The 16549-nt window shown below is 46.3% G+C and overlaps 1 protein-coding gene across 2 annotated transcripts in view, besides 1 other annotated feature; it reads right to left on the bottom strand.

Annotated features, from left to right (window-relative positions):
• Positions 1 to 16549, bottom strand: part of NOMO3 (NODAL modulator 3) — a 62284-nt gene that overhangs the window by 9875 nt on the left and 35860 nt on the right. For both annotated transcript variants that reach the window (NM_001004067.4, XM_005255318.2), the window contains exons 17-27: positions 14753 to 14816; positions 14109 to 14204; positions 11030 to 11248; positions 10862 to 10944; positions 9766 to 9925; positions 9494 to 9620; positions 7454 to 7567; positions 6148 to 6275; positions 4607 to 4748; positions 3615 to 3698; positions 1811 to 1921 (exon numbers count right to left, since the gene is read on the bottom strand). In NM_001004067.4, the coding sequence (NP_001004067.1) occupies positions 1811 to 1921; positions 3615 to 3698; positions 4607 to 4748; positions 6148 to 6275; positions 7454 to 7567; positions 9494 to 9620; positions 9766 to 9925; positions 10862 to 10944; positions 11030 to 11248; positions 14109 to 14204; positions 14753 to 14816 (1328 nt within the window). The remainder of the gene's footprint in view (positions 1 to 1810; positions 1922 to 3614; positions 3699 to 4606; positions 4749 to 6147; positions 6276 to 7453; positions 7568 to 9493; positions 9621 to 9765; positions 9926 to 10861; positions 10945 to 11029; positions 11249 to 14108; positions 14205 to 14752; positions 14817 to 16549) is intronic.
• Positions 12011 to 12305: an enhancer, noted in NCBI's record as "tiled region #11301; HepG2 Activating DNase matched - State 11:FaireW, and K562 Activating non-DNase unmatched - State 24:Quies". NCBI's record gives its function as "activates a minimal TATA promoter and a strong SV40 promoter by Sharpr-MPRA in HepG2 and K562 cells {active_cell/tissue: HepG2 | K562}" and the evidence as "EXISTENCE:reporter gene assay evidence [ECO:0000049][PMID:27701403]".

Below are 16549 nucleotides of genomic sequence, written 5' to 3'. Positions count from 1 at the left end.
CTGAGGGTCCTTCCCGCCTTGCACTGCCTCATCATATGATGTCACCTTAACTCCACCAATCTGTTAAACTCAAAACGCATTCCATCATGTACGTGGCTCTCCACGCTGCTTCAGGAGGCACTGGAGTACTTTGTTTCTGGCTTTATTTCTGGGGTTGTTGCCTGTTCTCACTCCCACACGGGATGGGGCATGAGCAGGGTTAAGGTGCAGCCCTGGCTGATGGCAAAGGCTGTGAGGATGCCACAGTGCACCTGCCGCAAGAGAATGCCAGGACCACCTCCCTGGGCCCACACTGGCACCTTTCTACATAACACACCAGGGGAATTTTCCTAAAATGAAAGTCACAGACTGAAGGTTATGGGTCGCATTGAAGATCCCTTATGTGTTCTTTTTTCTTCTATAACATCTTAAGTAAATCTGAATTCACCGACTATATTTAAAAATCAGGTGATTTCAAATAATTCTAATTTCCAGCTTCTCCGGAAAACTGGGAAGTGACACCAACCCTGAGCCTCAATTCTAGCACAGCAACACTCAGGAGCAAGAGAGTGGCGCCCTCCCCTCCTCTCTGCCTCTTCCCCTCCCTTGTGCCCCTCATGGATGGGGCAGGAGTTCCCCAGTTTGCCCCCCACCCTACCCAACCCTCTGCACTCTCTGACATTACCTGCCTGGTCCCTACAAGCACACGCCTGCAAGCCCTGGACAGAGTGGACTAAAGCGCACACACACTTTCTCACCCATGCCAAATACTTAACTGCTTATAAAATTACAAGCGCATCTTAACAATGTACCCCCAGAGCAAATCACTAACATCCGCAGAGGGTCTGCAGGGTATTTTATAAACATTTCTTCATTAATGGTAACATGGAGATTTTGTTAGAGCTGAACAAGATTATAAGAGGTCTCTGAGTCCAAAATCTAGGTTTTGCAGAGGACGAAGTCGAGGCATGTGGAAATGAAGTGACTGGCCCAGGCAGCAAGGTGAGTCACTACTGGAGACAAGAGAAAGCCCAGACCACCTGCTCTCCAGCCCACCGTCCACCACCTCTGATACTGTTTGGATATTTGTCCCTGCCCAAATCTCATGTTGAATTGTAATCCCCCGTGCCGGAGGTAGGGCCTGCTGTGAGATGATCGGATCTTTGGGGTGGATCCCTCGTGGCTTGGTGCTGTCTTCGTTATGAGTCTTGTGAGATCTGATCATTTAAAAGTGTGTGGCACCATGCCCCAACTCTCTCTTTTGCTCCAGCTTCTCCCACATGACATGCCTGCTCCCACTTCACCTTCTGCCATGATTGGAAGCCTCCTGAGGCCTCCCCAGAAGCAGACGCCACTATGCTTCCTGTACAACCTACAGAACGAGGAGCCAATGAAACCTCTTTTGTTATAAATTATCTAGCCTCAGGCATTTCTTTAAACCAATGCAAGAACGTTTAATACGACCTCCACTCCAGAGAAAATTTTAAGTTACAAGGCGCTTTCTTTAGAATTGGCTTTCCACGTTAGATTCCATATTGTATTGATCATTGATCAGGCTTCTACTATAATTCTTTGGAAGATTAACTGATGGCAGACAGTTATCTGAAACTGGACCACATTCTCTCCCACAACTGGCAATCACTCTCCCAAATACGTGTTGTGGTCCAAGGTTCTTAAATCTCAACCTCAACCCTCAGCAGGCGGCACTCTGGAGCACCTCCACCTGTCACACCTAAGGCACGAGACAGGCACAAAACCAAAAACATCCCATTCGTACTTGTCTCAAAGCCAAAGGGAACACAATACTTGGAGCTTAAAAGTCTGGACTTACCCATAACGTAGGAAGGTATTCAGAGGAAGTGATCACATTTCCACTTAAATCAAATTGATTAATCTGCCGGAAAACTATGATGTTTACATCATCGATGTCATTATTCCCAACCTAGAGAGAGAAAGAGGGAATGCCAGTAATGAGAAAGCTGGTGGAGGAACTTCTATGCCAGCTGTCCGATGGCCTGAGAGCTGCTTCATGGCAAACTTTGCTTCTTACATTAAGGAAGCTAAGTTTGTCATTGAGTACCCTACGTCCAAGGTCACAAACCGACAGAAGATGGCTATCCCTGGCCCATAGACACATTTCATTTCGAAAGCACAGTATTTTTTTTCTACGTTTGAATTACTTGCCAACATGTTAAAAATTAGGAAATTTCATATATGAAGCCAGATTTTCCAGCTTCTCTTAAAAAAAAAGGAGAAGGATGCTCTTGCCTGTTAGAGCAGGGGCATATCCCTGGCCCATAGACACATTTCATTTCGAAAGCACAGTATTTTTTTTCTACGTTTGAATTACTTGCCAACATGTTAAAAATTAAGAAATTTCATATATGAAGCCAGATTTTCCAGCTTCTCTTAAAAAAAAAGAGGAGAAGGATGCTCTTGCCTGTTAGAGCAGGGGCAGAGTCACAGCACCCCCTCTGCGTGAGGTCTGTACATGGAGTTTGCGAGATCCCAGAGGGCCGGCCCCCTTCCCTTTCATACCTGCCCGGCCACAGTCCACATTATGCTAGTGATCCTGGCCTAAGTTACTACACCGAGAACATGCAAAGCATTTTGGTGTGAGATGCAGTCATCCCAGCCATTTAAAATGCCAACACCGTAAAGACGTCAAGGAAATCCACTTCCGGCCCGGTGCGGTGGCTCATGCCTGTAATCCCAGCACTTTGGGAGGCCGAAGCGAGCAGATCACCTGAGGTCAGGAGTTCAAGACCAATCTGGCCAACATGGTGAAACCCCGTCTCTACTAAAAATACAAAAATTAGTCGGGTGTGATGGTGTATGCCTGTAGTCCCAGCTACAGGCTGAGGTGGGAAAATCACTTGAACCCACAAGGAGGAGGTTGCAGTGAGCCGAGATCACGGCACTGCACTCCATCCTGCGTGACAGGGTGAGACTCCATCTCAAAAAAAAAAAAAAGAAAAAAAAAAGAAAATCCACTTCCTAGGTCAAAAGTTCTATCCTCCCTCACAATCTTCATGCATAATGAAGCCACCTAAATAAAGCCACTAAGAGGCAGCCCCTCTTGCCCTACCTAAGCCCTCTAGTCTTCCCAATGAGAGTTACTCAGTAAGAGAAAAGCCTTACTTCAAATGATTCCCAGGCCACATTCTGTGACTCGAAGGATGTCCTCTTTAGGGATTAATTTAGCTAGGTCATGATCTTGAGTATCAAAAGACTCTGCCCACAAAATGGGAGCAGGAAAAAGGTCATCTGAACCTAAGATAACTGCGTGGCCCTGCCACCCATTAAGCCCATGTGCTATTATTGTCCCTTGATTTGAAATGCTGCTTAGGCCTTAAGTTCCTTAACTTGCAGAATAATGATCAGAGCTTACAGGGCAAGTCGCGGGGAGGATACAACAGTTCCAATTTCCTTTCTGGATGCATGACAGCAACGCTGTTCACTAAAAACCCACATAAGATTCTGCTTGTGAAGATGACACTATTCTAAGAGGACCCTTAATTAGGATGAAAGTTCCCCCCGCCACAGATGAAAGGCAGACAGCCAGAGGAGACGGGAGGACTTCTGATTAGGGAGGCACCCACACCCAGGTGCAGCGGCAGCACTGAATGCCTTACCTCAATCACCCTATGGTGGGGGAGCGCCCGCTCAATGTGGTCGTTGCCTTCTGCCTTGAGCTGAACGTGGTACACACATCCCGGCTGCAAAAAAACTCAGGAGTCAGTTCTCTAGAAAGGGGGCTTGTCGTATCGTGCCTGGTCCAAGCCTGGTTTGGCTGCACGAGATCATTAAGACAGGAGCATTTCTCTCCCCTCATTTCCTAATCTGTGGCCTGTTAACCTTAAGAGTCCAGAGTTCCTTTAAGAACACCCCTAGTGTTGAAACATCTGAAATTTTGCGACTCCTTCCATCCCAACTCAGTTTCATTTTCTCCTACCCCAAAATAAATCAAATTTGGTTTCTTATTTCAAAATTCCAAGCATACTATGTGCTCTTACTCTTCTAAGATGTTTTTCCTCTCCATCCACCCCTCCCCTCTACCCGTATATACACATTGATGGATATCTGGAATGTCCACCATAAGCATTCCCAAATGCTTGTGTTGGGTATTATTTCTGGGAAGTGGGAATTTCTGACTTCTCTTTTTAAAATTTCAAGGATCTGGCAACCCTGACTCTGTCTTCCCCCATGGCTACAATAAGCTGGAACCAAGTGACAGGCTGTCCCTTTCCACAGGCCGTGCCCACTCCACAGCCCTCACCACTCCCTATCATTTCGCACAGCCTCCTCTCCCCCGTTCATACTGCTCTTCTGGCTCCATAGGCGTTTGGCTTGAGCCCTGGCGTAAGCCATGGCCACATACTGCTAGGGAAAAGCCCTACCAAACCCATGGTTTTCCAACTCCATTGTGCCACAGATCCTTGATCTGACCTGTTGGCTAGAAAAAAGGCAAACTCTACCAATTAAAGGTAAGAACTGGGAGGGCTCCAGAGCCCCACCCCCAGCCCTCTCGCCCAACCCACTCCTAGCAGTCTTGGGGCCACCACAAGATACTTCTGGACACAGGATGAAAAAAAAGTCCCCAAAGAAAACACATTCCAAGTCTCACCAGCAATCCACGTAATCTGAACTTGCCCTCTTCGTCTGTCACGGTGTCTTCTCCGTAAATGCTGCAGTCGTTCTGGCCCACCGCTTCCATGGCAACCCCTTGTTCGGGCTCTCCGTTTAAGGAAGACACTGTGCCATAGCAACTAGTATGGCAAGAACAGGCACGAATGAGATATTCTCATGGTTATCTGAAGGACCCAAGTGTTTCCCGTTTACCAACAATTATGGGGCAAAATAGTTCAGGGGAGAACTGTGCCTCAATGACCCAGGCAACTCGGTGTGGCCGGCCCACTTTCAAACCACACCTTCCTGCCGGAGGGATAAGCTGCCATCAATTTCTTTTCTCATACATTTTGAGGGATGCTCTGGAAAATTGTAATTTAAGAAGGCTAAAGCTTTATTTTATTCTTTCTAGGCTTTATTTGAAATAATGGAGCTTTCAATAACATGGAAATAACTCACTTCCTCTTTCATTCCATATATTCAGTAGAAAATGGTCCATTTTTCTAAACCCAATCTTTCCAATTACTCTTCCTCTAAAGTGATTCTGTATAAGTCTACAAAAAATACACATATGTGTGTATCTGTGTGTATACATGTATATATGTATGCATCTCTCTATCTATAGATGTGTATCTTTTTTATTTTGTATTTTTATTTTTTTGTAGAGACGGGGTCTTGCTATGTTGCCTAGGCTGGTCTTGAACTTCCAGACTCAAGAGAACTTCCCACTTCAGCCTCCAAAAGTGCTGGGATTATAGGTGTGAGCCACTGTGCCTTGCCAGACACTCATGTGTATCTATCTATCTACAGCTGGGAGCATTCAGAAAAACTGGAAGTACTGGTTGTCTCCCAGAAGAGGAACTTGGGTGGCTAGGAGACGAGACAGAGGGGAAATTTTACACTATACTCTTTTCAGCATTTTGAAGTTTTATTCAACTGAGCACATTTTCTCCTTTTAATGATGTAATTCAGGTTTGAAACTCTTTTAAAAAATAAAAGTGGCCAGGCGCAGTGGCTCACGCCTGTAATCCCAACACTTTGGGAGACCGAGGCAGGCAGATCATCTGAGATCAGGAGTCCGAGACCAACCTGGCCAACAAAGTGAAATCTTGTCTCTACTAAAAATAGAAAAATTAGCCATGCATGGTGGCAGTCCCAGCTACTTGGGAGGCCAGGACAAGAGAATTGCTGGAACCCGGGAGGCAGAGGTTGCAGTGAGCCAAGGCTGCGCCATTGTACTCCAGCCTGGGCAAGAAGAATGAAACTCCGTCTCAAAAAATAAAAAATAAATAAAAGCTTTTAGCAACTCAATAGGCTCTCTCAAGCCAATTCCAAAATAGGAAATTTGAGACTGAACCACCAGGTTGAGCTCCTAGGAGAGAAGGGCAGCAGTCAAAACTCCTTTGCCCTCATATCTCATCTCCCTTCCCTCCCAAGTAAAATCAGTGTGAAGCCTGGGATGCGTTTCCAGGCAACAGAGGCCTGAATGTGATTCACCAGCCCAGCCCTGGAAGAGAGTGGGGTGGCCAGGGCACTTACCTGTAAGCGGTTCGGTACCCCGTGATGGTGATCTTCAGGTTCTGGCCTTCCTGCACCTCGATCATCTGTGAGGATGGCTCAAACCGGAACTCCTTCATCATGGGTTTGAAGTAATACTGGCCAGGGCTCTGCCAAGATAATCACACTGAGCCTCAGCAGCCACATCTAGGCATGGCTTAAAAGTGAGGGGCGAATGTCACGATGGACCAGAATTACACCAGGGGAGCGCCATGGCTTCCCTGGCAGCCAAAAATAGTAACCCTCTCTCTATAATCACCACTCACAGTCAGGTAGTGGCAATCACAACTCTAACAACGGCAGCTGATGGTATCACCTGCCTGCAATGACTCAGAGAGGTAGAAGTCATATTTAATTTTTCTTTTCTTTTTTTTTTTTTTTTCTGAGACAGGGCCTGACTCTGTCCCCCAGGATGGAGTGCACGATCACAGCACACCGTAGTCTCAACCTTCTGGGCTCAAGCAAATCTCCCACCTCGGCCTCCTGAGTACCTGGGACCACAGGCATGCACCACCATGCCCAGCTAATTTTTTTATTTTTTGTAGAGATGGGGTCTTCCTATGTTGCTGGTCTCAAACTCCCAAGCTCAAGCGATCCTACTGCCTCACCCTCCCAAAGCGGTGGGATTACAGGCGTGGGCCACCATACCTGGCTCATATTTGAATTTAATGAATAAAGAAACTGAGGCTCAGAGAGGCAAAGTAACTTGCCTGATAGGACACAGCAAGTAAGGAGCAGTCTGCATCACTGCAAAGTGGTGTCTTCAGATGCCCCCACTGCCCGGTCTCCAGTAGCCCCACCACAGCCACTTTGTCACCATGACTGACAAGATGACCAACTAACACACACTTCCTGAATCCCCACCAGTCAGGGCCTCCGACTGCATCTTGAAAGAAAAACTGCTGCTCTCTTCCCACCAAGTGGAATGTCTTTTCAGAAGAAACGCAAGCTAACCACCAAACAAGACTCAGCATCATAAACATGATTCTGTGGCAAAACGAGAAGACGCCTAAGAGAGCAGCCGTTGTGGCCAGGGAAATTAATTACACTGTCTTAGTGACAAGCGGGTGATCAGAAAACAAGAAGCGCGTGTGGAAGGGAACATGAATCAGCAGCATTAAGTTCGAGTAAGAGCAATACTCTAATGACCGTGGGCCCCCAAGAAACTGAAACCACTCCACATTGGCCTTCTCTTCTCACGTTGTCAAGCAACACATAAGTCTCGCATGCTGCATCCTGGCTCTCTCTCAGGGAAGACAGGCAGGTGGTAAATTGCAGAACACGTTACCAGGTTTGAGAATGTCAGAATGCCGTTGTCCTGGGTCAAGAGGTTGGAACGAAACAGGCCACCACTCAGGGATAAGAGGACTCCCGGGAGGGGCTGGTCATCCTCAGCTTTTATCTGGGGATGAGAAGGTGAGACCAGAGCAAGGTTAAACTCCTACTAACTATGAAAATAACAGTTCCACAAGTCAAGAGGTCATTTTTTCAAGGTTTTTTTCTTTTATTGTTACTCAAAGGAGGACAGGGGACCTAATCTTCCTCCCCACAGGTAACTACTGTTGTAAGTTTTGTAAGTTTGGTGTGTAGCCTTCTAGAACTTTTTTTTTTTTTTTTTTTGAGACAGGGTCTTGCTCTGTCACCCAGGCTGGAGTGCAGTGGCACAACCTGGGCTCACTACAACCTTCGCCTCCCAAGCTCAAGCAATCCTTCAGCTTTAACCTCCTGAGGAGATGGGACTATAGGCGCACACCACCATGCCCAACTACATTTCTGTATTTTTTATAGAGACGGGTCTTGCCACGTTGCCCAGGCTGATCTCAAACTACTGGGCTCAAGCAATCCACATGCCTGGGCCTCCCAAAGTGCTGGGATTAGAGGCATGAGCCACCGTGCCCCGCCCAGAACTCTTTCTATGCCCACACAAATTTTATAAACATTACATATTATTGTTCACAGACTGGCAAGTTCATTGAGTGGGTGGAGGAGGTGAAATAAAAATGGCATGTTATATGTACAGTTCTGCAACTTGCTCTCTTCCTCAACAATTTATCCTGGTTCTCTTCTGCCAGCCAATAGAAATCTGCCTGTTTCTTAACTACTGCATAGCATTCTAAGGCAGGGTTTGACAAACCACAGCACCTACTCTTGTGGTACACAAGAGACAATTGGAATATCCCCAAATATGTATCTCTAGGCACTTAGTTTTATTTCCTGAACAATCCATTCCTAGAAGTAGAATTGTTGGATACATGCACTTTAAATTCAGAAAGATACTATCTAATTGCATTCCAAAGTGGCTGTAACCACTTACAGTCCCATAAATTATTTATGCTTGGGAAAACCCACACTTACCAAAAAATAGAGATTGTCTTAATTACAGCAAATCTAATCCCTGCAAAACAGTGTTTCGACTGTAACTTCCTTAGCACATTTCCTCAGTAACTACAGAGGCTTTGTGTTTCTGTGTTTATTAGTCACCTGCGTTACTTCCATGAATTTCCTTTTCATAATCTTTGTTCATTTTTTTTCTAGTGGGTTGTCTTTTTCTTACCAATTTTAGGAGCTCCTTGTAAAATGGGGATATTATTTATGATACAAACATTTCTTCCGAGTTTGAATATCTTTCAGTTTGGTTCCAAATGTATTCAGCAATATAGAATTTTAAATTTTTATGCGATGTAATCTGTCACTCTTTTCCTTTGGCCTATAGTTTATAAATATTCATTCTCAACGATCTCCAGACCCACTCTGTACAATCGCAGCACGCTTCTTCCCAGAAAGGACCGGTGGAAGGGAGCTAGGCAGCAAACGCCTCAGTAAGAACATTCTGTGTCCTTCAAAATGGAACAGTTATGGATGACAGCTTTAACTACTTCCCAGAAGGTACACAAACATGCTAAAGTCAACAGCTCTCCAAATTATGCTACGTGAAAGAAGTCAGACCAAAAAAAAAAAAAAAACAACAGTATATCCTGTTTGATTCCATTTATATACAGGTTGGTGCAAAAGTGATTGCGGTTTCTGCCATTATTCTCAATGGCAAAAACCACAATCACTTTTGCACCAACCTATAAAAACTCGAAAATGCAAACTAACCAATGGTGATGAAAAGCAGATCATCAGCTCAGCGGAAGGGTGGCAGGGAGGGATTACCAAGGGGCAGGAGGAAACCTTGAGGGCCACAGATGTGCTATTTTAATTGTGGAGGTGTTTTCATGGGTGTATTCCTAGGTCAAGACTACCACACTGTACCCTTTTTGTGCAGTTTATTATATGTTAATTATACCTCAGTATAACTGCCTTTTGAAAATACAGTGTTAGTTACCTCAAAGCTTACGCCTGCCAGGGCATAGGCCTTGAAGTCTCCGATGGTTCCTTCCACTGCAGTCAGAACATAGCCCTCCTTCTGTGAGGTCACCGTGTACTCCAGGTCACTGTGCAGGGGGCCAACACTGAAGAGGAGAGAGCAGAATGCTAGCAACGGCTTTGTTCACACCCTGCAGGAAGCCTTACCAAGCCCAAGGAAATGTGGGCCCCAGTTTCTTCAGAGGACTCCCACGCTGATCCCAGGCAAATGTGTCTCTATCCCGGGCTCACCTGTAGGCACCTTTGTCATCAGTAAAGACTGTGATCAGCGGTGAACTTGCCCCCTTTTCACTGATGACAATCTCGACTCCTTCCAACTCGGGGTGGATCTGGCCTTCTAAAAACAGGCCTGCCTTCCCGTGGATCTCGATCAGCTTCCCTGGGCAGCTTTCTAAGAGGGGAAGAAATAAACACAAGGATGGGGCTTGGTAGCAGAGACAGGAGCTTCTTGGTTGGGGGTTTCCCATGACAAAAGTGGCTAAAACAGATCTTAGAAGCTAGTTCCAAATGCGGTTATTTAACACCCCGGGGAGCTCAATAATCGGATACAGCCCAAGCCTCTTTCCATCCCTGAAAGGCCTTTCTCAGTGTGAAGGACTTTAGCAAGAGAATCAAAAAACGCTGAAGGCTGGGTTTTTACTACTACTCTTCCTAGGTTCTCAGGAGGCCACAGATCAGGAGGGAACACTTTACAGCAGACAGGAGGCCGTGCTGCTCAGCCTCTGGAGGACCCACTGAGAAAGACCGCCCCAAACAGCCTGCCTGCTAGAAGTCACGCTCTTCAACACCCTCTGCTTCCAAACGCGAACCACATAACACCCACAACTTAACGAAGCCAGAGTGCTGGGAAAAAAATAATAAGTGGCAAAAGACAAATACTCCACAAGTGATCACTTCAGTCATCCATTCCCCAAAAAAAGACCCTCCCATCATGCTCTGCCAAACAACAGAAAGATCATTAAAGATCATCACTGGCAGCTTTGTGCTTCATCTACCTTCTGGTGTCGACCTGATAATGTCAAAGAAAACCAAGTCCTTTTCCAAAAAGATCAACTCAATTCTAACAGCAAAAGTTACTTTTATTTATCTAAATCATTCATTCATCCATCCATCCATCCATCCATCCATCCATCCATCCATCCAACCCAACCATCCATCCATCCATCCATCCATCCATCCAACCAACAGTAACATCTGTGTGCCAGAGAGGATGTAAGGTGGCTTACAAAGATGGCTTCACTATAACATCACAAATCTACTTGTAAATGCAGGCAAGGGAACAACTGCAAAGGTGTGTGTGACATTCGCTCGCTGAGTTGACATTTACCTCCACTGACAACGGCTTCCATTGAAGGGGGATAAAAGAGCAGCTCTTTAGATGACGGTGTAACAGTGATTTTCTCTCCAGACCTAAAATAATTAATATACTTCAGTTTGGCGGGTCCTATCCCCACAAAACAGAGGACACTGTAGGGAAACGCACAAGAGAGCTTACCGCGCCCAGTAAGAGAAATCATACGAGAAGGGGCCTTGTAACTCATCTACCATCTCCTGCACAGGAGGCTTGGTCATTCTTTCTTCACCTTCCTCATTGCCGTTTTTCTCCCTCTCCTGCCTGCGGGCCTCGATCTCAGCCAGCTGCTGCTCCCTCCGCAGCTCCTGCACAGACTTCAGAGGGCCTAAGACCAAGGCGGGTTCACTGTCGATGGAAGACCTAGAAGAAAGAAATGGCGGCCCCTAGGACGTGGTTGCGTATCCTTGTGGTCAGTGGGAATTTGACCTTTCTACGAGTATGGACTTGCGAGTTACAAACTGGACATCTTATCATGACACCACAGTGGCGGAGTCTTCTGTTTTAAATAAACTAGTAGTTTCACAAAAAATAACAACTGAGCTTCGCAGTGATGGTGGCAGTATCTGGTAGATCTGGGCTGGAATGAAATACGGTTGATTTTATGGCGACTGGATATAAGCTTGTAGCTTCCATGTAGGACACGGAGTTTTCTCCACACCACCATCCTCTGTTCTCCATTCTACCTTCGCTGAGAACTGCTCTGATAGAGAACTAGGCACCAAGGATACAGCATCAACAAAACAGACCACACTTCCTACCCCTGTGGAATCCACGTTTCAGTGGGAAGGGGCTGAAAATAAAGAGAAAAATAATACCAGAGGAAAAGTGCAATAAAGAAAAATAAAGCAGTGTGGGAAGACGGAGAGCCCGGAGCACTGTTTTACATTAAAGGGACAGTCAAGGCCTTTCTGATAAGGTGACATTGAGCAAAGGTCTGAAGGAAGGGAGAGAATGCGCCACGCAGCTCTCTGGGTAAACAGTAGCTTGGGCAAAGCGATGCCAAGTGCAAAGTCCTTGGAGAGAAAGCTCACTCAGATGTTCAAGCAATGGCAACACCAGTCCAGCCTGGGGCACAGGGGCCCACGGAAGAGTCATATCCAACAGAGAGGTCCAAGGGGCAGCAGATGTCAGACTGAGGCTTCACAGGCTTGGTGCCGACCTGGAGCCACTGGAGTTTTCAGTCGAGGAATGGTATGATAAAAGAAATCGTTTGCTCCTTCATGGAAAATACACAAAGCAATGGCGGAAACAGGAAGGCCAGCTGAGAAGCTGCTGCAGTGATCCCAGAGGGGGGTCAGACCAGGGCTGAGGGCCACGTGGTGAGAAGGGAAGGCCAGCTGGGAAGCTGCTGCAATGATCCCAGAGGGGGTCAGACTAGGGCTGAGGGCCACGTGGTAAGAAGCAAAGCCCAGCTGGGAAGCTGCTGCAGTGATCCCGGAGGGGGTCAGACCAGGGCTGAGGGCCACGTGGTAAGAAGGGAAGGCCAGCTGGGAAGCTGCTACAGTGACCCCAGAGGGGGGTCAGACCAAGGCTGAGGGCCAAGTGGTAAAAAGGGACTAGATGATGGGTGTATTTTGATTGTAAAGCCAAGGCTTTGTTGGGGAATTGGCTGGGCCTAGGGTTCAAGGGAAATAAGAATCAAGAAACAAGGAGAAAGCGGGAGCTGCCATATCTGAATCAGAAAAGACCACAGAGGGGCTCATGGAGGGCAACTGTCAGCAGTCGGGTTTTGGGTCTGCTGAGTACACGATTCCCAGGGGAATCCGAGTGGCTCTGTCTAGCTGGAAGATGCATTCCATACAACCTCCGGCACAAGCAAGCAACACAAACACCCTTGTGAAGTTACAAAAATGAATGTAATCAAGCTGAAAGGAGGTAACATGCAGTTACTACTGGTAAGAAGGTAGATTGCTAGTCCTATCAGTAATTCATACTTTCCAAGCAGGGAGACAGTAAATGATAGTAAAAGACAGCAACAGACCTTCGGCAAATCCACCCCCAGCTAAAAACCTGGCTCCCCATCACCAGAAACCAGGGCCAGCCCTGACATTTCTCCCGCCCTAACCCAGTGGTCACTTTAGTGCCATGTCTCATCAACTCAGTCCCTCAACGACTCTCCGACCAGTCCGTCGCTCTCCATCTCCGCAGCCACTAGTCTGGGGCCCCCATTGCCTCCCCCTGCCTCCACCACCTCCCACTCTCAGGCCTCTTCTGTCTGTTCTCCACTCGGCCAATAGGGGGACCTTCAGGAAGAAAAATGTCATTCCTCTATGTAAAACATGTCAATTGCATCATGGGACAAAGACTATGGACCTTAACATGGCCTGGCCCCCCGCAGCCTACCTGTCCTGCATGCCCCCAAGGTCAAGCTCAAAGCACTCAGAACAGTTGTCATTTTACGGTTCTGCATGTGAGTATCTGACCACTGTTCCCCCCATGAGACTGTCAATCCCATAAGTGTAGGGGCTGTGGCCTCATAAGCCCAGTGCCTAAACACTGAAGACTCTCAGTTTTTCAGTCATCATGTACTCTGCAGGGATGACGGATGGATAAACAGATGGTGGACAGAAAGATGGAAACATAGCTGGAAAGGTGACTTCAACCAGGGGCAGGAGGGAGACAGGGACTGCAATGCCCATTCTACTTGACAGAGACGGTCATGTTGCCAAAACTCTTTCATTTCTCAAGAAAATTGGGGCGTCACAGGTACCTCACCACACTGCAAAAATTCCCTGAAAGGTGACATTCACATGAACGTGACCTTCGGTGAGGGACTTGCCTTTCAAATACTTCCTCTCTCACGACCCTTCTCTTATACCAGGTGCCATCTCTATTTCCCAAGCCTTCAAGCAAAAGTCTAAAGAAAAATAGGCAATTTGAATTTGCTAAAACACTTGAAATACAATGCACAAACCCCAGAGATTTTTTTTTTCCTTAGCAAAGATGAGAAGTACAAAGAGTTCAAACAGAAATTGAAGACACTGAAACAAGCTGTCGCAACGCTCTTCCTCACCCACAGGTAATTTCTGAATCAGAAATGGAAAGGATCAAGGCTGCTGGGAATTGACGGCAATGTCCTATAAGAGAGGGAAGGCCATTTGTATATACATCTAGAGATAAGAAATCAAAACTAATTTCCAGAGAGCCTATTAGAGACTCCCCAGGCCTCATCCACACCCTCTCCCGCCACTCTCGGCCCACTGCAGAACGCTCATCTTACTTGATAGTCACAGTGACATCCATCATTTTGTCGGTGGTGATAGTTCCAAGGACATGGTGGCGAATGGCTGTCAATGTCAAGATACTAGGTGAAGACCTACAAATCAAAGCAGAGGAAACGCTAGAACCTACTCATTCTCAGAAGATCATCAGCAATACCCTTTTTGGGCATCCTTCTTCACCCTAAATATACTACAGAAAATTGCTTTTAGTCTGGGGTAAAATAACTCTGGAGATCCAGAGAAGTATTTTAAAGAGTAAACTAATTCTCCACTCCACAACTTTATGCTTCCAATTCCCAGTGAAACCCACACACGTCTGTAAAAATACAAAAATGGCAGACTTGAACTTGACAGATGCCCATCGGTGAGGGCTGGGAGATTTGACAAAGCTTCTATTTAAGGCACTTCAAAAACACAGCCCTCTATCCTGGGGTTACAGAATTCTTGGGAAAGGGATCCTGTCTCCGGTTCCTCAGTAACTAATCCAAGTGTCTTAAAATCCTTATCTAGAAATGCTGTTGAAGGCCTAACCTTGCCTCTTTCAGAAAAAAAACAGAAAAACTCCTTTTGTTCTCTGAAGTAAATGAAGAATCCTCCACGGAATGTATACAAACACCACAAAGCATTCAATTCCCAGGCTTACGTGTCATAGGTGTAGAACGCTTGCTCAAACCGGTGGCAGGAGCGAGGGGTCACTTTGTACACACCTACAGACAGGAAATCAAAAGTAATTTTCAGAGAATGGCATCTATTACACTGAGCAATTCCGACATCTGAAATCGAGTGGCAGCTCTTTGCATGTGAAAACTCAAATGTATCGCAGATCTGCAATAATGGGATCAGAAATACTGGGCAGGCATCGTTTTCACTGCCTATGAAGGCGTCTTACCAATGACCCGATCCATGCAATGGCCCGATCACAGGCGCATGATTTTCATTTTCCATAAGGTAACAACTCACAGTAGTTAAATCTGCACAGACCAGGTGAACGGACCCATGCACGAGAAGGAACAGAAAGTACGTTTCTACTGCAAATTGGACTGAGGATAATTTCCTACTTAAAAGATTCTATTAAGGATCCAAGAGATAACCACAGCCTCAATTTCTTCCTATAAATATTCCTAAAAAGGAGGTAAGGAGTAAGGGAAGCCCCAGAAAAGTGTGAGTCTGTGTGGGAGGACACTCCGAGTAGGGGTACATTTCATCACTTGCCAGAGGAACACAGTCAATTTCAGGAAGATACAAGGAATAACAATGTATTTCCCCCAAATCATCATTAACCAGTATTTTGGCCACACTTCCTACAAAAACCTGAAATTAGCTAAAACCACCCTGCTGTTTTCATTGCACTCAACAAGCCCCAGAGTAGTTACCATCAAAAAAAAAAAAAAAAAAAAATCAGGTTTCTCTGTTTGTTTTGTTTGGTCTTTCATTCAACAAATATCGACAGAGCATCTCTTCCTGGCCAGGTATTATGCTAGGTACTGGTACACAGTGGGGAATGACAGAGCAGTGGTCCCTGTCTTCATGGAGTTTACCATCCACAGAGAGGGGGAGCATTTGACAGCCACAAACATATCAATTGTGGCACATGCAAGAAGGGGATAGAAGTGAGTGCTGAGAGCAAGAGTGTAGGAGGCAGGCCTAAGTGGCCCTGGAGGCCATCCTTCCCCAGGAAGCAATACTGAACTGATGGGTAAGAAGGCCCCAGCTAGGAGGGGCAGGAGGAGATGTCCACAGAGAACAGCATCTGCCTCACAGGCTGGCTCATTGTTTCCTCAACAGGCATCCTTCCTGCCTTGAGAACAAACCCTGGTTATGTTGAGGGTGGCAACGTGCTCAGCCTCGGGTAGCACATCCAACTGTCCCAGCCTCCCTTGCAGCTAGAAGTAACCATGTGGCACGGTTCTGGCCAATAATACAGACAAGTAGCTTACTGGAGGAGGGGGCGCAAGGAAATGTTTGCCTGCCCTCTCCTTGACTTCCTCCTTTAAACATAAGTTTTCTAACCACAGCCATCTTGAAAATACAAGGCAAAAAATAGAAGGGAAAGGCCTAAAGAATCACAAAGACACCACCCCTAACATCTACCAGCTGCTGAACCCATGCTGGCAGCCACGCACTGCCACACTTCTTTATTGAGCCAAATAAACTACCACTTGCCAATGGCACTGCTGTATGGATTTTGTTACATGTAGCCAAAGGCAGCTGAACTGACACCCAGAAGGACAGAGTGGCTGGAGTAGAGACAGTGGCAGACAGGGCTGGGTTACACAGGAGCTAAGATCAGGTTAAGGAGTTTGTATTTTATCTTGGGAACCAAACGGAGGAGCCACTGAATTATTCATTAGGAAAATGCAAAACAAAACCACAATGAGACACGACTTCACATCTACCAAGATGACTATAATAAAACAGACAATAACAAATGTTGGCGAAG

This window comes from Homo sapiens, chromosome 16 (assembly GCF_000001405.40).
Source record: "Homo sapiens chromosome 16, GRCh38.p14 Primary Assembly".
In the NCBI taxonomy this organism is placed as follows: domain Eukaryota; kingdom Metazoa; phylum Chordata; class Mammalia; order Primates; family Hominidae; genus Homo; species Homo sapiens.
Note: the sequence above shows the minus strand (reverse complement) of the source record. Positions and strands in the feature narration are given on the sequence as shown.